At 43.6% G+C, this 25,830-nt stretch overlaps 1 protein-coding gene across 6 annotated transcripts in view, besides 2 other annotated features; it reads right to left on the bottom strand.

Annotated features, from left to right (window-relative positions):
• The window catches only part of SOAT1 (sterol O-acyltransferase 1), a 64,884-nt gene extending 53,190 nt beyond the window's left edge, over positions 1–11,694 (bottom strand). For 3 of the 6 annotated variants that reach the window (NM_003101.6, NM_001252511.2, XM_011509912.2), the window contains exons 1-2: positions 11,555–11,694; positions 2,689–2,814 (exon numbers count right to left, since the gene is read on the bottom strand). In NM_003101.6, coding sequence (NP_003092.4) covers positions 2,689–2,806 — 118 coding nt within the window. In that variant the 5' untranslated portion in view covers positions 2,807–2,814; positions 11,555–11,694. Of the gene's footprint in view, positions 1–2,688; positions 2,815–11,089 lie in introns of all 6 variants that reach the window. The other 3 variants (NR_045530.2, NM_001252512.2, XM_011509911.2) reach the window with 2 other exon arrangements.
• Positions 10,990–11,497: an enhancer, noted in NCBI's record as "H3K27ac hESC enhancer chr1:179263129-179263636 (GRCh37/hg19 assembly coordinates)". NCBI's record gives its function as "activates a minimal SCP1, AML or CMV promoter by ChIP-STARR-seq in primed H9 embryonic stem cells {active_cell/tissue: H9 hESC(primed)}" and the evidence as "EXISTENCE:reporter gene assay evidence [ECO:0000049][PMID:30033119]".
• Positions 11,710–11,899: a silencer, noted in NCBI's record as "silent region_1589". NCBI's record gives its function as "represses an Ori minimal core promoter by ATAC-STARR-seq in GM12878 lymphoblastoid cells {active_cell/tissue: GM12878}" and the evidence as "EXISTENCE:reporter gene assay evidence [ECO:0000049][PMID:35858748]".

The raw sequence follows: 25,830 nt of genomic DNA, 5'->3' as shown, positions 1-25,830 counted from the left end.
TAAATATCAACTGACAGATAAGCAAACTGTATCATACCTATACAATGAAATATTATTCAGCCACAAAAAAAAAAAATGAAGTACTGATACATATTAAAACATACTGCTCAGGAGGCTGAGGCAGGAAGATCACTTGAGGCCAGGAGATCGAGGCTGCATGTGCTATAATCATGCCTGTGAATAGCCCCTGCACTCCAGCCTGGACAGCAGAGCAAGAGTCCACCTCAAATCAAAAAACCAAACAAACATGGAAAACATTATGCTAAGTGCAAGCAGCCACACACAAAGGCCACATGTTCTACGAATCCCCTTATAAGAAATGCCCAGATCAAGCAAATCCAAAGTGACAGGAAGTATATTAGTGGTTGCTAGAGGCTAAGAGGAGAGGAATGGGACTCCTTTCCAGGGTGATAAAAATGTTTTGAAATTAAACAGCAGTGATGGTTCCACAACCTTGTAAATATATTAGCAACCACTGAATTGTAAACTTTAAAATGGTGACTTTAATGGTATGCAAATATATTACTAAAAAATTAAAAGGAATGGAGGCCTGACATGGTGGCTCATGCCTATAAAACCAGCACTTTGGGAGGTCGGGGCAACCAAATCACTTGCCAGAGTTCAAGACCAGCCTGGCCAACATGTTGAAGCCCCAACTCTATTAAAATACAAAAATTAGCCAGGCGTGGTAGCACATGCCTGTAATCCCAGCTACTCGGGAGGGTGAGGCAGGAGGATCACTTGAGCCTGGGAGGTGGAGGTTGCAGTAAGCCAAGATTGCACCACTCCAGCCTAGGTGACAAAGCGAGACTATCTCCAATTAGGAGGAATGGAAGGAAAAAGGAAGAGAAGGGGATGGGGGAAAAGGGAAGAAACAAAGAAGGAGGAAGAGGGGAAGAAAAAGGAGAAAAAGGGCTGGGCATGGTGGCTCACACCTGTAATCCCAGCACTTTGGGAGGCTAAGGTTGGTGGATTACCTGAGGTCAAAAGTTCGAGACCAGCCTGACCAACATAGTAAAATCCCATCTCTACTAAAAATAACAAAATTATCTGCACGTGGTGACGCATGCTTGTAATCCTAGCTACTTGGGAGGCTGAAGCAGGAGAATGGCTTGAACCCAGAAGGCAGAGGTTGCAGTAAGCCAATATCGCACCATTGCACTCCACTCTAGGCAACAAAAGCAAAACTGTCTCAAAAAAAAAAAAAAAAGGAGAGAAAGAAAGGGCACCTAGACCAGGCTGGGCACGGTGGCTCACGCCCGTAATCCCAGAACTTTGGGATTACTCCCAAAGCACTTACTCCCCAAGGTGAATAAATGTTACAATATGTGAAGAAACATTTTCAAATTAGCATTATTTACATTAAACCAAAGAGGTTGTTACACTTCTTGATTTAAGCTAACCAATTCAATTTTTAACACCTGCACTAAAACCTGGACTGACTAAAACTTAATGAACTAGGACAATAAAGAACACTGAAAATACACAGAAATCAGAAGAATTTAGAATCTTTTTAAAAACTTGGGACATAAAGAGAATGATCATATACAGTGACAGAAAGTTTCAATTAAAATAACTTTTCTGTCCCAAGAACTGGAAGGAACAAACAAGCATGAAGTTTCTAATGCGTGAGAATGCAGGCAAGGGAAACAAACTGGGTTATCACTAAGTCCCTAAATCACGGAAGGAGAATTCTCCCCAGTATTGGCTCATCCTCCTTTGCATAAATTTCACATTTTATATCACACTAAAACTAGCCCATATGCCATATAAATATGTCATATATAGCTAACTAAGAGCCTATCAATAAACCTCATTATGCCAACTCAAGCAGCAATGTTTACATTCCTGGTGGGATCCAGCTGTTGATATTTAAGTTTAATTAAATTTAGGTAGGAAAAACAAAACTGTTTCTTTATGAAAAGAGATGAAATGCCAAAGACAACCTGTCTCAGAAGGTTCCGCACCTATTTGTTAACTAAACAATCCTCAATTTTCAAATCCTTGTTGAAATCAAACCTTTACAAATGTCACTGCAAAAATTAATACCCTGATGCAATAGATGACATCAATTAGAGTTGTGTTTACAAGTCTATCATTCATAATCATAAACCTTGACCTTAACAACAAAGGACTATCGTATTCCTCTTTGTAGTCAGGCATTAAGCAAACGTGGATACAAGAACTAATAAAACTCCCTAACTACTCCTCTCCCAAGATTTATAGCTCAGTATTGAACTGGGTTAGGCACCCTGCTAATTACTCACATTTTACTCATTACATCTATTATGAAAGTAGTTAATTACAAGAATATTACACTGTGATAAATCTAGTTATGTGTATGATTTTGGAGGTTTTGTCATTCACTTAACTTGGAGCTCCATAATGGCAAACAAATCCGTACTGATCACTGCTATAGCCCCAGCATCCAGCGGGGGACCTCAGCAATTATTGGTAGGTTACGTGACTGAATGAATGGTCTCTAAAACACAGCAGATACCAATAGATGACCACCAAATTAATTAACGAGAAAGGACTTATTGTCTAATTGCTTTGTTACTAGACATATAAAACTCTATCAATACCCATTTACAATAAAGAATTAAAGAGATGGCAATACTTATTCTATAACACTGTATTTGTTCTCTATTTCACTAATTCACCTAAAAAAAAAAAATTAAGCCTCACCATTACTAGGTGTCTCTAGGGACTCCTTTGCAGGGTTTCTCTGGTCTTCATCTTCCTCAGGATTTTCCCTGGACTTTGACAGCCGGTTTCTTAGAGACATCTTCTCTTCACCCACCATTGTATTGTCTAGGAAAGAAGGTGTAAAAAGCTTTCGTATTAGTCCGTTTTCACACTGCTATACACTACCTGAGACTGGGTAATTTATAAAGGAAAGAGGTTTAACTGTCTCACAGTTCCGCATGGCTGGAAAGGCCTCAGGAAACTTACAATCATGGCAGAAGACCAAGGGGAGGCAAGGCATGTCTTACGTGGCGGCAGGAGAGACAGAGCAAGGAAGTGCCACATTTAAAACCATCAGCTCTCATGAGAACTCCCTCACTATCACGAGAACAGCATGGGGGAAACTGCCCCCATGATCCAATCACCTCCCACCAGTTCCCTCCCTAGACACGTGGTGATTACAGTTAGAGATGAGATTTGTGTGGGGACACAGAAGCAAACCAATATATCAGCTTTGAACTAAGCATCTGGCTTACGTGAATTTCACAATACCACTATATTTAGGAGAGGTGAAATGTGATGATACATTCTCTTCCTTTTGCATTAATCATTTCAAAGCATTTTCTGGGTACAAGATACTCAAGATAACAAATCTGAAGAAATCAGGTCCTATAAAATAATTGGAATGGTTTTGAAGCCCCTTTTTAAACATAGACCCCACTCTTAAAGAACAATTTAGTTGAACAAAGCATTAAGTATGTAAAAAAAAAAAAAAAAGGATTAAATAGTAACAGGTAACTACAAAGATGCCACAGGGTGGAGTATGATTTAATAACAAAGTCAATGGTAAAAACAATACCTTAAGTTCAGAGACAGCAGAGATTAGCAGAAGATGTAAAGGTTTCACAGAAAAGAAGGTATTTTAGACACAGTCTTGAAGGATGAGAACTGTGCATTCCATGTGCAAGAAAGGATTAAAACAAGGACCTTATAAGCCCCGTTCAGGGAACCATGAAGGAATTGAACTACGACAAAAACAAGTTTTTGTTAAGTATCTACTAAGTGCAAGGACCCTGCCAGATGCTTTAAGTTTTCTCATTTAATCTTCATAACAATTCTGAAAAAAATTACCCTCAGTTTTCACATGAGAAAACAATGATTTAAAGTAGTTACTATCAGTGTCCTCCACCCATGTACCAGGAATACACCTGCAGTTGAACAAGCTGAATTTATAGGAATGCACACCACAGCCCCAGGTACTAGAGTCTGCTTTTCTTCTCATTACAGTAACTTGCCCAAGACCACACAGCTAACGACAGAGCCCGATTGGAACTGGCATTAGTTGGATCCAAACTACAAAGACCACTAACTACTGGGGGAAAATAGTTGGTAATGGAGAAATGTGATGAGGGAAAAGACTAGAAAGGAGGACAGGAGTCAAACTATAAAGGCCTAAGAAATTAGAAGTTTTTCAGGAAGGCAGTGGTGAGACACTTTAAGCACTAAAAAACATGATCAAAGATCAATATCAAGATAGTACAAGGTTTACTCTAAAGCCATGTGTTTCCCTAGTTGGGCATGGTGGCACACAGCTGTAGTCCCAGCTACTTGGGAGGCTCAGGCGGGAGGATGACTTGAACCCAGGAGTTTGAGTCTGGCATGGGAAACATAGCAAGACCACATCTCAAAATTATTTATTTATTTATTTATTGAGAAGGAGTATCGCTTTGCCCAGGTGGGAGTGCAATGGTGCAATCTCGGCTCACTGCAACCTCCGCCTCCTGGGTTCAGGCAATTCTCCTGCCTCAGCCTCCCGAGTGGCTGAGATTACAGGTGACTGCCACCACACGTGGCTAATTTTTGTATTTTAGTAGAGACAGGGTTTCACCATGTTGGTCACGCTGGTCTCGAACTTCTGACCTCAAGTTATCCGCCCGCCTCAGCCTCCCAAAGTGCTGGGATTACAGGCATGAGCCACCGCACCCGGCCAAAAAAACAATTTTAAATAAAAAGTAAAGCAGTGTTTCACTATGTGATAAAGTTTTCAAGAGTCTAAAGCAAGAAGAAAACAACTGTGAAATACTCATTACATTATTTTAAAGCTATATATATTTAAATTCTGAGACTACAGTTTTTCTTAATTTTTGTACTAAAATATCCTTTTCTGTATAAAAGGATGAAATATAGTACATGGTGGGTTTGGTTGTTTTTCAACTATCACAGCTTGGCAAAGTAAAAATCTGACAAATCTAGATCGGCTTTCTTCTAATTATTTCTGAAATCAAACAAATGAAACAATTGTGGAACAGCAGATGAATATATCAAGTAGAAATGTTATGATATCATAAGATCTAATTAAGAGGAACTTAAGGGAAAAGTCAGGGCTAATAAATCACAAGACGATGCCCAACTTACAATGGTCCAATTCTGTGTAAAAGTGACAGAGGAAGCCACAAGAGCATCTATCTCTTCATCAGAAATGATGAGAGAAGTAAGAACTGAAAACTAAACTTTGAGGGACAGCCTCAAAGTAGAGGAAATCAGGGAAGAAAAAGAAAGACACAAAAGGAACCAAGATGTTTCAGTAAGAGAGGAATTTTACAAGGAATAATGGGAATTTTTTTTTTTCTGGCCAGATGAACAGAGACTTTTTTTTTCTGGCCAGATGATGGGGAATTTAAAGTAGATACTCTTTTAAAGAGCATATAGCAAAAGTTTAAAGCATAAAAGACAGCAAAATGAAGCCGGGTGCGGTGGCTCATGCCTGTAATCCCAGCACTTTGGGAGGCTGAGGTGGGCAGATCATGAAGTCAGGAGATCAAGACCATCCTGGCTAATACAGTGAAACCCCATCTCTACGAAAAATACAAAAAAAAAAAAAATTAGCTGGGCATGGGGGCAGGCGCCTGTAGTCCCAGCTACTCGGGAGGCTGAGGCAGGAGAATGGCATGAACCCAGGAGGCGGAGCTTGCAGTGAGCTGAGATCACACCACTGTACTCCAGCCTGGGCAACAGAGCAAGACTCCGTCTCAAAAAAAAAAAAAAAAAAAAAAAAAAGATAGCAAAATGATTAAAAAATAAATGCCAGATTAAAGTTTATTACCCAAGCCATATGAAACAGTATAGCACAATGCAATATTTCTCAAAGTAGAATAATAACAGCTGATTTTTTTTAGTGCTTATGTGTTTTACATGTATTATTTTCATCTCAACAGAATCAAGACAGATACTATTGTTATTTTCCAAATATTCTTTGGCCACCATAGTGTCCCATATACTCTTCCCTGTCTATAGAAAGCTATTTCTCCTCTGCCCTTTTTTTATGTAGCTAACTCCTACTCAAGCCTTCAAAGAATCACAGCTACAGCAGTAATAGAATTAATACCAACAGTTCTGATTTAATGAGCACCTATTATGTACCTCTAGGCACTGTGCTGCTAAACTTTTTACATTACATTTAATCTTTACAACCTTAGATAAGTATTATCCTCATTTTACAGATGAGTTTAGGGAAGTGATTTAACTTGTCCCAAATCAAATAATTCTCCAACAGCAGAACTAGAATTCAAAACAAAGACTATCAGATTCTACAACCTGCCCTCTAATCGCTAAACCGCCTCCAACTCACCCTCTGAAGTTTCCTTTACCACCACCTCTCATCTCATCCTCTCTGCGGTCCCACTACACTGAGCATCCTGTCACATGTTACATTGTCCTATAATCAGAGAGCAATACTCTCTGTCTCTTACATTAGGCTTAAGTTCTCAAAGATAGGGATTACATAGTATTTTCTGTAAGACTCCCCCAAATCTAGTGTGGAGTACCTGGAGTACAACAGGCAGGCATTAAGAAAGAAAGCAAATGTATCAGTTAATATGTAACCAATTATTCTAAGCACAAGACAGTCCCCAACTTATGATGGTTCAATTTAAAATTTTTCAACTTTATGATGGTGCAAAAGCAACATGCATTCTGTGGAAATCATATTTTGAGTACTCATACAACTATTCTGTTTTTCACTTTCAGTATAGTATTCAATAAATTACATGAGATAATGAACACTTTATTGTAAAATAGTCTGTGTTCAATAATTTTGCCCAACTGTAGGCTAATATTAAGTGTTTGGAGCATATTTAAGGTACACTAGGCTAAAACTACCCAAAAAACATTTAGCCCGGCGTGGTGGCAAGCACCTGTAATCCCATCTACTCAGGAGGCTGAGGCAGGAAAATCACTTGAACCCAGGAGGCGAAGGTTGCAGTGAGCACAGGTCGCACCTCTGCACTCCAGCCCAGACAACAGAGTGAAACCCTGTCTCCAAAAGAAGAAATATAAAAAGGGAGTCCTTGGTAATAAGATGGTTCCTCAACCATCAAGCTACTCTAGAGGAAACCTTACATCAAAAGCTAAAACAGGGCCGGGCATGGTGGAATACATCTGTAATCCCAGCACTTTGGGAGGCCGAGGTGGGCAGATCACCAGGTCAGGAGATCGAGACCATCCTGGCTAGCCTAGCACGGTGAAACCTCGTCTCTACTAAAAATACAAAAAATTAGCCAGGTGTGGTGGCAGGCACCTGTAGTCCCAGCTACTCAGGAGGCTGAGGCAGAAGAATCGCTTGAACCCGGAGGTGGAGGTTGCAGTGAACCTCAATCACACCATTGCACTCAAGTTAGATCAAGTCACTTCACAACTTAAACCCCTTCAAACATCCTAAGTCCTTACCATGATCTAGTAACTTCTGCATTGCCTGCCACTCACCACCACCCCCTTAAACACCATCAATCTTTTTTTTTTTTTGAGACAGAGTTTCACTCTTGTTGGTCAGACTGGAGTGCAATGGCACGATCTCAGCTCACCGCAACCTCCGCCTCCTGGATTCAAGCGATTCTCCTGCCTCAGCCTCTGGAGCAGCTGGGGTTACAGGCCACCACACCCAGCTAATTTTGTATTTTTAGTAGAGATGGGGTGTCGAACTCCCAACCTCAGGTGATCCGCCTGCCTCGGCCTCCCAAAGTGCTGGGATTACAGGTGTGAGCCACCGCGCCCGGCATTTTTTTTTTTTTTTTGAGACGGAGTCATGCCATGTCGCCCAGGTTGAAGTGCAGTGGCATGATCTTGGCTGTCTCATTTTCTCTACTCATTACTTTGGCCTTCCACTGTTTCTTAAACAAGCGCACCGGCTCACGCCTGTAATCCCAGCACTTTGGGAGGCTGAGGCGGGTGGATCACAAGGTCAGGAATTCTAGACTGGCCTGGCCAAGATGATGAAACCCCGTCTCTACTAAAAATACAAAAAATTAGCCAGGGGTGATGGCAGGTGCCTGTAATCCCAGCTACTCGGGAGGCCGAAGCAGAGAATTGCTTGAACCCAGGAGGCGGAGGTTGCAGTGAGCCGAGATCGCGCCACTGCACTCCAGCCTGGGTGACAGAGCTGGACTCCGTCTCAAAAAAGAAAAGAAAAGGACAGGACATGGGATATTTCACAATTGGGGGACATTAATAGCTATGATTTGATTACATGCACAGTTTTAGGAGGAAGGACAAATAAATATATTGGAGTACACCGCCAGTAAGTTGAGGAAGTGAAAACAGTGATCATAAGACTAGTCTCTCAAGAGGTCTAGCAGTGAAGGAATCTCTAGCGTTTAGGAAGCAGGTAACAAAGTGCTGAGTGCAGTAGGTGTAGCACATATCTCATTTAACATGTCCATTTTTAAAGATGCAGGAGATTCAGAAATGCTAACAAACTTGTTCAAAGTCACAGGTAACATAAAGCTATTCCCCCCCAGGTAACAAAGCTAAGTAGACAGCTATTTATACAACACACTGATTGAAAAAGAATTTCTTAAGAATCTAATCTGTGCACGCAATTACATAATGTTCAGTGTGATAAGCATCTAACTTATCTTAAGAAAGCAAAACAAAAAGAAATGATTTGAGAAACAAATGAACTTGGAAAGACATGTCAACTTTAGCCTGCCTCCGTGTTCCCATTAATACAGCTTTCAAAAGAGCCCATAAATCTGTATCACAAATACTGAGTGCCTACTCCAGGTAAAGAACTTTGCCACATCACCCTTAGATTCAGTGGTGGAAAGGGGACACAACTGTGGATAGAATTTACAATCCAGAGCAAAAAAAATTTCCCTCTGGCACCCAAAGGTTGGCCCTAACACAACGCTACAACTTTTACATATCACAGAACTAGGTCTTTAAGTAATTAGCAAAACTAAAGAACAAGAACAAATTCTCATTTACATCTGTATGGTTAGTATAATCTCTTATTAACCAATGTGGCAAAAAAAATGCAAAACAAAGCCATCCTCTTAGAAAAATAGAACTTGGCTGGTCTTTGTTAAAAACTTTTTCCCATAGGAAAAAGGGACTCTTCCCTGGTTAATACAGTAGTTCTCCCATATCCATGGGGGATACGGTCCAAGACTCCCAGTGGATGCCTAGAACTGTGAATAACAGTGAACCCAATACACGTTGTTTTTTCCTATACATACCTATTATAAAGTTTCATTTACAGGCTGGGCACAGTGGCTCACGCCTGTAATCCCACCTCTTTGGGAGGCCGAGGCAGACCGATCATCTGAGATCAGGAGTTTGAGACCAGTCTGGCCAACACAGTGAAACCCTCCCTGTCTCTACTAAAAATACAAAAATTAGCCGGGTGAGCTGGGCGCGGTGGCTCACGCCTGTAATCCCAGCACTTTGGGAGGCTGAGGCGGGTGGATCACCTGAGGTTGGAAGTTCGAGACCAGCCTGACCAGTAAGATCTGATCAGTCTTTACTAAAAAAAAAAAAAAAAAAAAAAAAAAAAAAAAAAATTAGCCGGGCGTGGTAGCACATGCCCGTAATCCCAGCTACTTGGGAGGCTGAGGCGGAGAATCGCTTGAACCCGGGAGGCGGAGGTTGCGGGGAGCCGAGATCGTGCCATTCCAGCCTGGGCAACAAGCGCCAAACTCCATCTCAAAAAAAAAAAAAAAAATTAGCCGGGCGTACTGGGACACGCCTGTAATCCCAGCTACTTGGGAGGCTGGGGCATGAATATCCCTTGAACCTGGGAGGCAAAGTTTCAAAAAGTTAGGCACAGTAAGAGATTAACAATATACTGTATTAAAATTCACTTGAACATGGTATCTCTCGAAATGTCTTATTGTACTCTGTTTCGCACCTCAGGTAGCTGAAACTACAGAAAGCAGTTAAGTGGGGATCACTGTATTTCTCATTCAAAAGTTCCTTCCTCTGTCCACCAACTTATTCATTCTTTCTCTGGGCCAAGTGCTGGACCAGACCCTGAAAATTACAACAGGCTAAACCAGCCTTCATGAAATGCACTAGCAGAGGAAACAAAGCAACTAATTCATTACAATTAATGATCAACTTCTGCTAAGGAGAATAAAGAGTTCATGGAGGGCTTAATGGGGATGGGGTGATTTCCAGAGGAAGTGATATGTGGGCTGATATCTGAGGCAGGTATAAGAGTTGGAGGGAGGGAGAGAATACAGCATTAGAGGTGGAGGAAACTCCTAAAAGCCAAGAGAGGAAAGAAAATGAAGCTTTCCAGTAACAAAAATAAAGCCAGTGTGGCATGAACCTGGAAAGCCAGAAGGAAAGTGGGCCAAATGAACCAGAGATAGAGTGTGCTCACTCAGTAGGTCTTTATCCTAAAAGACTGCGAAACCTCAGATGCATTCTAAGCATGTGATTCACTAAAACACGTGCATTTCTAAACGATAATTCAGTGCCACAGAGCTCCTTCCAAAACCCATTCTCACACCCAGACAACGCACAGACTTCCTTAACAAGTCATTCACTGACACCGCCCAACTTTTAAAAAGAAAAAAAAAAAGCTTCAAATTGAATTCTACTTCAAGGAAGAGGAAATCAAGCAGGCTGAAAAAAAGAAAAAAGTGGTTTAAACAGGTGGCAGCCACTTAAATATTAAAAAGTGACCAACAGGCCAGGCGCGGTGGCTCACGCCTGTAATCCCAGCACTTTGGGAGGCCGAAGCGGGCGGATCACTTGAGGTCAGGAGTTTGAGACCAACCTGGTCCAACATGGTGAAACCCCGTCTCTACTAAAACTACAAAAATTACCTGGGCGTGGTGGCGCACGCCTGTAATCCCAGCTACTCAGGAGGCTGAGGCACAAGAATCGCTTGAACCCGGGAGGCAGAGGTTGCAGTGAGCCGAGATTGCGCCACTGCACTCCAGCCTTGCGACACAGCGAGACTCCGTCTCAAACAAACAAAAGTGACCAACGAACTTAACCTAAATATATATACGGAGAATAAAGTTTATATAGTTGTTTCTCACTTAGAAATAACCTTTCAATATACATATTATTTAAATTACATGACCATTAACACTTAGGGAAAACAGAAACTTACCTACATCCTAATATTTTACAATAAAACATGAGCTTGATTAAAGGTTCTGGTGCCCCTACAGATTTTCATGTCTTGCTAATACCATCCTTCCCTTCACACATTTTCTCTAAATCATTAAAAAGCTGACTTCCTGAGTGCATTTTTGGTTTCGCTTTTTAAAGAATAAAACGTCTTCTAATTCCTAACTTTCTTTACTACTGACTTGAGAGATGCCACGAGATTTGCGGAACACCAAACCAGCGTGCAGGGTTTAAAAGGCTGCCCGTGACCCGGGCGCCTGACGGTAACTTTCCCGCCCTCCCCTCCCCAACTCCCCTGCAGTCGCCGAGCCTCGCCTTCTCCGCAGCACAGCCCAGGACAAGGCCGGGCCGGAGCTGCTGCCGCCACCGCTTCTCCCTTCCCCGCGGGCTGAGGCCGGTGGACCCAAGCGGGAAGCGAGGAGAGGCGCGGGAGCACCACCGTTACCTGAGGCCCGCGCCCGGCAGCGGGCACTTCGGCCAAGAGGGCAGAGCCGGGAAGCGGTCACAGAGCAGCCAGCAGGAAGGTCGACTCCGGGAAGCTCTCCTGGCGCCCAGGGCCCGCAACGTCGCCTGCTAAGCTAAAGCGCCGGACAGCCCGGCCCCTACGCCCCCTGCCTCCGAGCACCGCTGCGTCACGCGCAGGGCCACCTCCGGCTGAGCATCCTATTGGTGGTCCCCAGGTTGCCAGGCTCCGCCCACCTCCCCGCCCCTTCCCGGGCGCGCGGGTCCCCGGCGCCAGTGCTCGCAGGCTGGCCCTGGCAACCTGCCAAGGAAGCTTCTCACCCGGACATCATGATACCGGCGACAACATCTTGCTTGACACTTCCACCCCAGCAGTAGAATGTGCAGCCAAAACGGGACTGCGACAACTCCCTGCAAGCCCGAAACGGCACCCTGCGTGGTAGCATGGAGCTGCAGGGGCGTTTGGCTCCTAGGCCGACTGGAAGAAGCCGCTTCTGGAGCTGTGGATCATTGCAGTTTGAACTGACCATCCAGGAACAACGTAGAACTAGCCAGAAGCAAGAATCGCTGGCTTATCTGCACACCAAGATTCGTGCCTTTATCAGGAGATTCCTTACCGTTTGAAAACCAGCGTCCTTCAGCAACATTCAAACTAGATAAGGGGAAAAAACCTGCACCAAATAATAAAACACACCAAATAATGGAACAACTAAGTAATATTTAAGGGCCCTTGAGGCCAGGTGCGGTGGCTCACGCCTGTAATCCCAACACTTTGGGAGACCGAGGTGGCTGGGTCACCTGAGGTTAGGATCGAGACCAGCCTGACCAACATGGTGAAACCCCGTCTCTACTAAATACAAAAAATTAGCCGGGCTTGGTGGCGCGCGCCTGTAATCCCAGCTATTCGGGAGGCTGAGGCAGGAGGATTGCTTGAACCCGGAAGCCAGAGGTTGCAGTGAGCCTAGATTGTGCCATTGCACTCCAGCCTGGGCAATAAGAGCTAAACTCCTTCTCAAAAAAAGTTTTAAAAATAAAATAAACAAAGGGCCCTCGTGACTTCATAATCAAAAGAAGAATGATGCAGAGAGATTTGGGACAGAGATTAAATACAACAGTTAATCGCTTGGAATTTGTGAAGGCAGAGGTGTACGTAAATTTAGGGTAAAGGTAGGTGAAAAGGCAATGATGAGAGGAGCAGAGACTGAAGAGTCGCACTCACAGCCTGCAAACTAATACCAGCTAGCCTGGCCTGACTAATCGCTTCTTCCCCACTCCTCCCCAGGACAAAAATCCCTGAACAAACAGATGAGGTTTAGCAGAACTGACTACTCTCTGGGTCCTTTAAACAAAGTGGATTTGTACACGTTCCCTTGGCCACCCAGCAGGCTGCACTGTTCACTCAAAGCAGAAATGGCCCTCAGCATCCAGTCGAGTTTAGTACTGGCTGTCATTGGCAGATCTGCTCCGTTTGGCCTCTTCTACAACTGTGATTGCCACGTGTGCTGACTAGTTGGTGACAGGGTCTGGTAGACCCCCAGCTGCTTCCCCTCCCCACTCCCACTAGTTATAGAGCAGTAGGAACATAGGCACTCATTTCTATTGGGTCTCTGTTGGCTACCTTCTATATACACCAAGATGACTGGCCTTTTCACTGTTTGATTCATTCATTCAAAAAATATTGATAGTATTCTTGGTGCTAGAAATACAGTGGTGAATAAACAGAAGAAGCCCCTGCACTTAGAGGCTTATGTTCTGCAGGACTAGGTATGAAAGGAAACAAACAGGTGGCTCAAGCCTATAATCCCAGCACTTTGGGAGGCTGAGGCAGGAGGATCACTTTGAGGCCAGGAGTCCAAGACCAGCCTGAGCAACATAGTGAGACTCCCTCTCTACAGAATTTAAAAACAACAACAACAACAACAACAATGACAACAAAATTTGCTGGGAATTGTGGCAGGCCCCTATGGTCCCAGCTACTCGGGAGGCTGAGATAAGAGGATTGCTTGTGGTGGGGGATGGGGGGTGAGGGACGGAGGATGCAGTGAGCCAAAAAATCATGCCACTGCACTGCAGCCTGGTCAACACAGTGGGACTCTGTCTCAAACAACAAAAGCTTATGTTTCTAATGAAGAATATAAATAATAAAACGAATAGATGAGATAATCACTGGCAGTGATAAGTACTGAGCAGAAAACAAAACAGAATGGTCAGGGAAGGATTTTCTGAGGAGATAATTCAGGAGCTAAGACCTAAATGACAAGAAGGAGCCAGCCAAGCCAACCATGGGGAGGAAGAACATTCTAGACAGAGGATAATGGGTGTCAAGGCCCCGATGCTGAACTGTGGCTGATGCTGAAGCGTGGCTGTTTGAGGAACAGGCCAGGAGGCTTGAGCATGTCAAATAGGGGTTTGAAGTTGAGTTTGGAGCATTAAGCAGGAACCTAATCACGTTGTTTGGATTTATCTGTTAAGTGCAAAGGCAAGATAATGAAGGGTTTGGGTTTTTGTTGTTTTGAGATGGGGTCTCACTCTGTCGCCCAGGCTGGAGTGCAGTGGTGCAATCAGGGCTCACTGCATCCTCTACCTCCCCAGGCTCGCTAAGTCATCTTCCCACCTCAGCCTCCCTAGTACCTGGGACTACAGGTGGGCGTCACCACACCAGACTAATTTTTGTATTTTTTGTAGAGACAGGGTTTCGCTGTGTTGCCCAGGCTGGTCCTGAACTCCTGGGCTCAAGTGATCCTCCCGCCTCAGCCTCCCAAACTGCTGGGATTACAGGCATGAGCCACGTGCCCGGCCATTGGTTTATTTTTTTTTTTAAATCAACCTATTTTATAGAGAATGACTTGAAGGGAGCAGCAATGGAACAAAAAGGAGCCGAAGAACAATACAAAGTTATTGGGCAAGTTCAGGGGGTAGATGGTGGTACCTGGACTAGGCTGGTTGGTGTGGAAATAGAAATTGAAAGATTTCAGGATATTTTCCCGAGGTGCAGGTGTGAAGAAAGGTAGTAAACGAGATGACTCCCAGGTTGTTTCCTTAAGCAATTGAGAGGATGGGGATACCATTTAGTGCAAGGGCAAAGATGATATATGATTGGAGGGACTCCAAAGCCTGTGCTCAGACTCCAAGCCTCTCCCACCACTGCACTGAAAATCTCACATTACTCAATCCTTGGAAATCAAGGTTTGGTTAAATGCAAGTGTTGACTTCATCATATTGAAAAAAAAACAGGTGTACAGAACTTGTATAGTTGCTAGTGCTAAGAATATGAATAAGACTGTCTATTGGAGACACTAATAGGTATAAGCCATTTCAAAACAATGAGATAAGTGTTACAATAAAAGGATGTTAAAGGCCAGGCGTGGTCGCTCACACCTGTAATCTCAGCACTTTGGGAGGCCAAGGTGGGCGGATCACCTGAGGTCAGGAGTTCGAGACCAGCTTGGCCAACATGGTGAAAACCTGTCTCTACTAAAAATACAAAAAATTAGCCGGGTGTGGTGGCAGGCGCCTATAATCCTAGCTACTTGGGAGGCTGAGGCAGGAGAATCTCTTGAACCTGGGAGGCAGAGGTTGCAGTGAGCCGAGATCGCGCCACTGCACTCCATCCTGGGCAACAGAGCAAGACTCCCTCTCAAAAAGAAAAAAAGAAAAAGATGTTAAAAAAAATTCTTTACAGTGGCTCATGCCTGTAATCCCAGCACTTTGGGAGGCCGAGGTGGGCAGATCACTTGAGGCCATGAGTTCGAGACCAGCCTGGCCAACATGGCAAAACCCCATCTCTACTAAAAATACAAAAAATTAGCTGGGTGTGGTGGCAGGCACCTATAATCCCAGCTACTTGGGAGGCTGAGGCAGGAGAATCGCTTGAACCCGGGAAGTAGAGGTTGCAGTGAGCCGAGATTGCGCCACTGCACTCCAGCCTGGGTGACAGAGCGAAACTCTGTCTCGAAAAAAAGGCTGGGCGCAGTGGCTCACCCCTGTAATCCCAGCACTTTGGGAGGCTGAGGGGGGGCAGATCACCAGGTCAGGAGTTTGAGACCAGCCTGACCAACTTGCTGAAATCCCATCTCTACTAAAAATACAAAAAAAAAAATTAGCCGGGCGCCACGCGCACACCTGTAATCCCAGCTACTCAGGCAGCTGATGCAGGAGAATCGCTTGAACCCGGGACGTGGAGGTTGCAGTGAGCAGAGATCGCGCCACCGCACTCCAGCCTGGGTGACAGAGGGAGACTCTGTCTCAAAAAAAAAAAAAATGTGTTTACCCAACAGGGTCATTGTGTGGATTAAATTGGTTAATGCCTTCAAAGCTTCACATATAGACACTGGTATATAGAAGTGCTCAACCAATATTAATGGTTTTTGTTATTTTATTTTTATTCTTATTTTTGGAGACAGGTTTCTTGCTCTGTCACACAGGCTGGAGTGCAATGGCATGATCGTAGCTCACTGCAGCCTCAAACTTCTGGACTCAAACTGTTCTCCTGCCACAGCCTCCTGTGTAGCTGTGATTAAAGGTGTGAGCCACCAGGCTTGGCTAACTGCTATTATTATTGTTTATGTTATTATCTTCTGAATACAGTGGGAGCAGGTTAATGATGATCACAGCTGGCGGTTGGAGGAGAGGGAAGGGAGAATGGAAGAAGGCTAACTGAGCCCAGTTTTCTGAACCAGTAGGAGGAGTTTTGTCATCAGGGTAGGGAGGAGGAACATTCCAAACAAAGGAAAAAAAAATCAAGGTCAAAGGCCACAAGGCAATAAGGAGCCAGAACCATCCAGGAGACATGAAGGAAGTCGTGAGTATTGTTAAAGGGGCCAGAGGTAAAGCCAGTGTCAGGACTTAAAAAGTTTGTAGACCATGTTGAGACATTCTGAGCCATACTCTTTTTGTTTTTGATGGGAGTGGGGTGTAGACAGGGCCTCACTCTGTCACCCAGGCGAGGGTGCAAATCTTGACTCACTGCAACCTCTGCCTCCCAGGCTCAAGCAATCCTCCCATTTCAGCCTCTGAAGTGGCTGGGACCACAATCACCCGCCATCATGCCTGGCTAATTTTATTTATTTATTTATTTATTTATTTATTTTTGAGATGGAGTTTCGCTCTTGTTGTCCAGGCTGGAGTGCGATGGCACGATCTTGGCTCACTGCAACCTCCGCCTCCCGGGTTCAAGTAATCCTCCTGCCTCAGCCTCCCAAGTAGGCTGGAATTACAAGCATGTGTCACCACACCCTGCTAATTTTGTATTTTTAGTAGAGACAGGGTTTCTCCCTGTTGGTCAGGCTAGTCTCAAACTCCTGATCTAAGGTGATCCACCCGCCTCGGCCTCCCAAGATGCTGGGATTACAGGCGTGAGCCACGGCACCCGGCCAAATTTTTTTTTTTTTGTAGAGACAGGGTCTTACTACATTGCCTAGACTGATTCGTATGTTTATAGACAGTGAGGAGCCAGTGAAGGATGTTAAGTAGAGGGGAGTTATGATTTAGGAGACTGTACTGGAGGCGATGCAACTGGAGGTGGAGAGATCAATTAGAAGGGTGATGTGGTAATACAGGTGAGAGATGATAGAGGCCTAAACTAAGGCAGTAGCAAATTAGAAAGAAAGAAAGGGACATATTTGAAAGATAGTTAAAGTGACAATTGACAGAATTAGACAGTGTTTGGATAGTGGCGGCGAGGTATTAAAGATGTATCCAGGATTTATGACTTAGCAGTCCAGGTGGTTAGAGTTAATGCTGACCGAGATAAGAAAATACATCCTGGAGAAGGAGCCAGAATAAACTTTACCTGGGTTAATATTTAAACTGCGTTAGTCCACCTTCTACTAAGACCTGAAGGAACTGAACAAGAAGCAATGAACTTTCGTCCTGTTTTGACAATAAAGTAGCTTTCACGTGTTTTCTGTTTATATCAACAATGCATACTATTGGCAGAAAATAAAATCAAATACAGAAAAATACAAAGATAAAAGCCATCTAATATTCTATCCAGAGATGCAGCTAAATGTTGCCGGGGAGAAGAAAAGAAACAATGGCTAAGGCCTGCTGCCAGAAGGCACTGGGTTCTACAGGGGAGACAAAAAGGGAAACTGAACAAAAATCAAACCAGGTTTTTAAAACACAAACAAAACATCTCAGTTCTTCAAAGAACCACAACTCCCTTAGTGATACCAAACAGGCAATAAATCTTTACCCCATCCCAAGTATGTATAATTTCGCCACTGGCATTCGCTCAAGCATAGGGAAAGCAGATTAATCTGGAGTTAAGGTTTTGTGATTGAGTAAGACAATGAGGCAAGGGTGTAAACCAGGACATAGACCTTCATTGAAATGTTTCTGAAAACTCTTGAAGGGCTGGAATCCTGTCTTGTTTATCTCCCAAAGCACCTAACGCAATACCTATAGGTTACCCAATAAAGGGATTGAATGAATTAAGAAAGCAACTGAAAGCATGAGGTCCTAGAGTGTGGGTCAACCTCAAAGACAACAGGGGTCAGACACATTCCTCCTCTCAGTGATCCATTCATCCATCCATCTTTCTTTCTTTCTTTCTTTCTTTCTTTCTTTCTTTCTTTCTTTCTTTCTTTCTAGACAGAGTTTTGCTCTTTTTGCTGAGGCTGGAGTGCAATGGCGTGATCTTGGCTCACTGCAACCTCCGCCTCCCAGGTTCAAGTGATTCTCCTGCCTCAACCTCCTGAGTAGCTGGGATTACAGGCATGTGCCACCATGCCTGGCTAATTTTTTAGACTTTTAGTGGAGACAGGGTTTCACCATGTTGGCCAGGCTGGTCTCGAACTCCTGACCTCAGGTGATCAACCTGCCTTGGCCTCAAAAAGTTCTGGTATTACAGGTGTGAGCTATGGCTCCCAGCTGATCCAGTCATCATCTTTCAAGCTATATCATCACTTGTTTTTCTGCAAGCAGAAGTCTTTATATACAAGGGAGAGAGTAATCTATGCTGGTTAAGAGAATCCATCCTGCCTACATGGATTTTCTCTAGCTCTAAATAGCAAAGTACATTCTAGGCACCACCAGAAGTGTAATGATAGTTCAAAGATGTACACATATAAGGAAACAGCATCAAGAGTTTCTCAAGCACCACTGGTGAATGGATACTACCATCTGACTGTCCCATGTAGGAATGGAATAACTGCCACACAGCTGTGCTTGCCAATGACGCAGTTCATCTTTTCTGACATTACTACCAGAATTTATTCCTTTCTCCAAAGGAAGGGGCTAATTTTCTTTATTAGCCTAATATGTATTGTTTTTATTTCCATGAGGAAGACAGATTTATTCCTTATTAGATAAATAACACAAGCTTGGCCAGACACGGTGGCTCACGCCTGTAATCTCAGTGCTTTGGGAGGCTAGGTTGGGTGGTTCACTTGAGGCCAGGAGTTTGATACCAGCCTGGCCAACATGGCAAAATCCCATCTCTACTAAAAATACAAAAATTAGCCGGGCGTGGTGGTGCATGCCTGTAATCCCAGCTACTTGGGAGGCTGAGGCATGAGAATCACTTGAACCCGGGAGGCAGAGGTTTCAATGAGTCAACATTATGCCACTGCACTTAAGCCTGGGCAACAGAGCAAGACTCTGTCTCAAAAAACAAACAAATAAACGAAACCACAAGCTTGCTGAAAAATTCAAAAAACATATACGATTATTAAGGAAGAAAATAAAAATCACTCAAAATTGAAATAATCACCTTTAACACTTTAACATGTTGGTGTCCACTCTTTCATAGAATTCTTTATGAATATAAACACATTCAAATATTGAATTTTTTCACTGAAGCTTTTGCATTTGTGAATTTTTCTTAATACACTGTTTTTAGACAGATTCACACTCTGTCGCCCAGGCTGGAATGCAGTGGCATGATCTTGGCTTACTGCAACACCTCTGCCTCCCGGGTTCAAGCAATTCTCCTGCCTCAGCCTCCTGAATAGCTGGGATTACAGGCATCTGCCACCTCACCCGGCCAATTTTTGTATTTTTAGTAGAGACAGGGTTTCACTATGTTGGCCAGGCTGGTCTCAAACTCCTGACCTCAGGTAATCTGCCCGCCTTGGACTCCCAAAGTGCTGGGGTTACAGGCATGAGCCACCACGCATGCCAGGCCTACATACTTTATTTTTTAAAGTATGTTTGTTTTTATTTTGTTTTTTGAGACAGAGTGTTGCTCTGTCGCCCAGGCTGGAGTGCAGTGGCGCGATCTTGGCTCACTGCAAGCTCCGCCTCCTGGGTTCACACCATTCTCCTGCCTCAGCCTCCTGAGTAGCTGGGACTACAGGCGCCTGCCACCACGCCCGGCTAATTTTTTTTGTATTTTTAGTAGAGACGGGGTCTCACTGTGTTAGCCAGGATGGTTTCGATCTCCTGACCTCTCAATCTCAAGTGAACCTCCCAACCTAGCCTCCCAAAGCGCTGGGATTACAGGCATGAGCCACCGCGCCTGACCCAGGTTTGTTTGTGTGTGTGTGTGTGTGTGTGTGTGTGTGTGTGTGTGTGTGTGAAGGAGTCTGGCTCTGTTGCCCAGACTGGAGTGCAGTGGCACGATCTTGGGTCACTGCAACCACTCCCTCCCGGGTTCAAGTGATTCTCCTGCCTCAGTCTCCCAAGTAGCTGGGATTACAGGTGTGTGCCACCACACACGGCTAATTTTTTGTATTTTTAGCAGAGACAGGGTTTCACCATCTTGGCCAAGCTGGTCTTGAACTCCTGAACTCAAGTGATCTCCCCACCTCAGCCTCCCAAAGTGTTGGGATTACAGGATTGAGTCACCCCCCACGGCTTAGAGCAGCTTTAGATTCATGGGAAAGTTAAGCAGAATGTATACGTACCACCTACCCCCATAAGTGTACATATAGCCTCCCCCATTGTCAAAATCCCCCACCTGACTGGTACATTTGTTCCAATTGGTGAACCTGTGTGGACACAGCATTATCACCCAATGTTCATAGTTTACATTACAGTTCACTCTTGGTATTGATATTATTTTTTAAGGGCTTTATTGGTGACCTATAGCTCATCTAGAAGTAATTAATTTATTACCCGGTAACAAAATAGAACTTGATTTTGTTTAGCCCAAGTGTATTCCTCTTTCTGAGTTCACAAAATATGCCTGAGTCAATTTTCTGTATTTAGTAAACTTTTGCTATAATTTTATGTACTTTAATTACATTCCTTTTAAACCTTCACTCTTTGAATATTGAAAATTCCCAGTCTTTCTGGACTATCATACTATAGCTTCTCTTTTAGCCTCCGCGACTAATACCTTGCTTGAACATCTTCATATCTTTAGGCAATTATGTTTTCCTTAAGGTTTAGATGATTTGATGCACCAGGGTATAGTGTAATGGTAGGATCAAATTTTTTTCTGTCTGTTTCGTTGTGCCTTTCCAATATTGCTTAACCTTGGGATCCTTTGAGGGCACAGGAAAATATTGAGCTTGTTGACAGTGACTCTAAGACATGTTTCTAGGATTATAAATTATATCTCAGAGCCCAACTACACTGTAAGTACAATTTTCCCCTCAGTCTAACTCACGCTTCTCTATGTTGAAGCTCAGTTTTACTCACTGAGCCAGGCTCTTGAGCTTTTCCCCTTTTTTTCTTAAAGAAGTTGCTCTCTTAAAAAAAAAAAAAAAAAGAAAAACAGTAATTATCAACATCATGGGGCCAGGCTTACTGGCTCATGCCTGTAATTTCAGCACTTTGGAAAGCCAAGGCAGTTGGATCACTTGAGGTTGGGAGTTCAAAACGAGCCTGGCCAACATGGCAAAATCTGTCTTTACTAAAAATACAAAAATTAGCTGGGTGTAGTGGTACATGTCTGTAATCCCAGCTACTTGGGAAGCTGAGGCAGGAGAATTGCTTGAACCTGGGAGACAGAAGTTACAGTGAGCTGAGATTGCACCACTGTATTCCAGCCTGGGCAACACAGCGAGACCCTGTCTCAAAAACGACAAAAAAAAAAAAAAACCCTAGTGAGACAAGGTCTCACTATGTTGCCCAGGCTGGACTCAAACTCCTGGGCTCAAGCCATCCTCCTGCCTCAGCCTCCAGAGTAGCTGAGATTACAGGTGTACACTACTGCAATCAGCTTTTTTTTCCCCATCAGATTGGTATTTCTCTACAAAGTGATGTGTAAACCCAATGTTTTTCCTGTGTATTTCTATGTTCACATTATATGTTAAAATGTTGGATGAAACGCAGGCCCAGGGAAACTTACCTTTGTTTTCTATTTCTGACATTTTTTCTTACCTAGGGAAAAGTGATTTTAATAGGCTTTTCCTACAGAAGTCTTGCAAGGACTTTTCGAAAACAAATTTTTATCTGTGATCCTCCCTTTCCCAGACTTTTTCATTTTAGGATATCCTTTCCATCTTACCTGCCACTGTCCTAGTTAAGGTCATTTTTGCTTCTCACCTGTAATTTCAGTCACAATTGCACCCTTACAAGTATCCACACCTTTATTATTTCCTCAGCAACCAGACCAGTCTTCCCAGAATGATGCTAGAATTGTGTTATTACCCTACTCAAAAAGCTTCTATAGCTCCCTATATCAGATACTGCTAGCTGCTTACTCAATATCCATTTTCCCTTTTTCTTTAGTAACAGAATTCTGATTTTATTCTGGACAGTAGCGAGTGTACCTGGTTAGAAGGCCAGAGTGGGCTGGGCATGGTGGCTCACGCCTGTAATCCCAGCACTTTGGGAGGCCGAAGTGGACGGATCACCTGAGATCAGGAGTTCAAGACCAGCGTGGCCAACATGGTGAAACCCCGTCTCTACTAAAAATACAAAAAATGAGCTGGGCGTGGTGGCGGACACATGTAATCCCAGCTACTTGGGAGGCTGAGGCAGGAAAATTGCTTGAACCCAGGAGGCGGATGTTGTAGTGAACTGAGATTGCGCCACTGCACTCCAGCCTGGGCAACACAGCAAGGCTCCGTCTCAAGAAAAAAGAAAAAAAAAAGGGCCCGGCGCAGTAGCTCACATCTGTAATCCCAGCACTTTGGGAGGCCAAGGCAGGCAGATCATGAGGTCAAGAGATCGAGACCATCCTAGCCAACATGGTGAAACCCCGTCTCTACTAAAAATACTAAAACAATTAGCCAGGCATGGTGGCATGCCCCTGTAACCACAGCTACTGAGGAGGCTGACGCAGGCGAGTCGCCTGAACCCGGGAGGCAGAGGTTGCAGTGAGCCAAGATCACGCCACCACACTCCAGCCTGGCGACAGAGTGAGACTCCATCTCAAAAAAAAAAAAAAAAAAAAAAAAAAAGCCATAATGTCTAGCTTTCCCTATAGCGTGAGGTATCCACTGAAATGTAAATAGAATTTATTGGATGGGTTTTCAGGAAAACTCCTGTAAAGGGGTGATAACTTATCTGAGAATTGCATATTTTTGTGTCTCTACCCCTTTTTCTTTGTCTAGGAAATAAATATAATATTTGGATCCCCAGCCACCATTTCAGACCACAAGGAAACTATGAGGATGAAATTCATGACTAAGAAGAGTTGAACAGAAAGAGAGAATGAGCGAGTGACTGTGGAGTCTTGATGGGAGTCCTGAGTTGTCTATCTACAGAGTGCTTTATGTGACACAGAAATAAATTCTAATTTTATTTACCCATTTATATGGATCTCCTTTTTTTTTCATGTTTTGAGACAGAGTCTTACTCTGTCGCCCAGACTGGAGTGCAATGATACAGTCTCGGCTCACTGCACCCTCCGCCTCCCAGGTTCAAGCGATTCTCCTGCCTCAGCTTCCCGAGTAGCTGGGAGTACAGGTTTGCACCATCACGTCTGGCTAATTTTTGTATTTTTAGTAGAGACAGGGTTTCACCATGTTGGCCAGTCTGGTCTCAAACTCCTGACCTCAGGTAATCCACCCGCCTCGGCCTCCCAAAGTGCTGGGATTACAGGCATGAGCCACCATGCATGCCAGACCTATACACTTTATGCTTTAGAGCAGTGTTTTTTTTGTTTTTTTTTGTTTGTTTGTTTCTTTTTTTTTTTTTTTTTTTGAGATGGAGTCTGGCTCTGCTGCCCAGGCTGGAGTGCAGTGTTGCGATCTCGGGTCATTGCAACCTCCGCCTCCTGGGTTCAAGCGATTCTTAGGCCTCAGCCTCCTGAGTAGCTGGAATTACAGGTGCGCGTCAGGACACCTGGCTAATTTTTGTATTTTTAGTAGACACGGGGTTTCTCCATGCTGACTATGCTGATCTTGAACTCCTGACCTCAGGAGATCTGCCCTCCTCGGCCTCCCAAAGTGCTGGGATTACAGGCGTGAGCCACCGCGCCCGGCCTTATATGGCTCTCCTTTTAATGCAACTAGACCTAACTCTAATGAACACACTAGCTACTACCTACTGAATCAGGCACAAATTTTTTAGAGTAGCGTTCAAGACCTTACATAGTATGGCTCTAAAGTCCAAAGATTAAAATACTAAGCAAATATTTTTTGACTTGTATCTTCCACTATACTCACACTCATATACAGTCATAATGAGAATACCATGATTCCTTGGCTCTGTGTCTTTGATAATTCTCTTTTTTATCTTGAATGCCCATGATTTAAGTCTTGGATAATTCTCTTACCTGCTTTGCAGTTTACCTTTACTCTTACATCTCTGCCTGCTGAAATCCAATTCACTTTTATAGATGTAGTTCAAATGCCAACTCCTTCTCAAAACTCTTTTATTTCCACAAGATTCTTCATTAGCTACCACAACAAAGAGCTCACCTGAGGTTAAAACAAACCCAAAAGAATGGCTTCAAAATCTACTCCTGCCTGAATTTAATTAAATCTGCTTATGGAACAATTTATGTCCCCGAGAATTGTTGAAAACAATAGAGCAATTAGTGGAAAACAGCAGGCAATTAGTGTAGCCTAGTAGCTGGATGTGATAACCAATGAAGCATCTAGCTTAAAAGAAAAATCAAGAAAGAGTTAAGCTGAGAACTTTGCTGAAATCACTGCATCCCAGGACAGTCCTCCAAGGAGTGACACAAAAAGCTTCACATTGCAGGGGAAATAGACTTCACTAAAACAGCTATGTCCCTAAAATAAATAAATAAATTAATTAATTAATAATGACAATAACAGTAATAAAAACAAGCTCTGGAGAAGGGTAAAGGGAGTCAGTATCCAGAGTTGCTATGGACTAAATGTCCAGTTTTCAACAACGACAACAAAATTATGACACATGAAAAGAAACAGAAAAGTGTGACTCTTATATAAGGAAAACAAACACAAAAACAGGCGACAGAAATACCTGTGTGAGGGCCCAGATGTCAGATTTAACAAACAATTCAAAGAACAAAAGGAAACTGTGCTTTAAAAAGTAAAGAGGCTGGGCGCAGTGGCTCACACCTTAATCCCAGCACTTTGGGAGGTCAAAGCAGGCAGATCGCCTGAGGTCAGGAGTTTGAGACCAGACTGGCCAACATGGTAAAACCCCGTCTCTACTAAAAATACAAAAAATAGCCAGGTATGGTCGTGGGTGCCTGTAATTCCAGCTACTCGGGAGACTGAGGCAGGAGAATCGCTCGAACCCAGGAGTCAGAGGTTGCAGTGAGTCAAGATCGCGCCATTGTACTCCAGCCTGGGCGACAGAGCAAAACTCCATTTCAAAAAAAAAAAAGTAGCCAGCATGCTGGCTCACGCCTGTAATCCCAACACCTTGGGAGGCTGAGGCAGGTAGACCACGAGGTCAGGAGTTCAAGAGCATCCTAACTAATACAGTGAAACCCTGTCTCTACTAAAAATACAAAAAATTAGCTGGGTGTGGTGGCAGGCGCCTATAGTCCTAACTACTCAGGAGGCTGAGGCAGGAGTATCACTTGAACCCAGGAGGTGAAGGTTGCAGTGAGCCGAGATTGTGCCACTGCACTCCAGCCTGGGCAACAAGTGAGACTCCGTCTCAAAAAAGAAAAAAAAAGTAAATGAAGCTATGCGGTCAATGTCTCATCAATAGAGAATATCAATAAAACCATATAAAATATTTTTAAGGAGCCAAATGTAAAGACAAGAATTGAAGGTACAATTGAAATGAAAATTTTTCTGGAGGACCTCAACAGTAGATTTTAACTGACAGAACAAGTCAAACTTGAAGATATGTCAATAGAGATAATGCAATTCAAAGAACACAGAGGAAGAAAAGAATGAAGGAAAGGAAACAGGGCCTCAGAGAAATGTGAGACACCATTAAGTGCATCAACATATATGTAACGACCAGAAG

This window comes from Homo sapiens, chromosome 1, assembly GCF_000001405.40.
Source record: "Homo sapiens chromosome 1, GRCh38.p14 Primary Assembly".
NCBI classification, from domain to species: Eukaryota; Metazoa; Chordata; class Mammalia; order Primates; family Hominidae; genus Homo; species Homo sapiens.
Note: the sequence above shows the minus strand (reverse complement) of the source record. Positions and strands in the feature narration are given on the sequence as shown.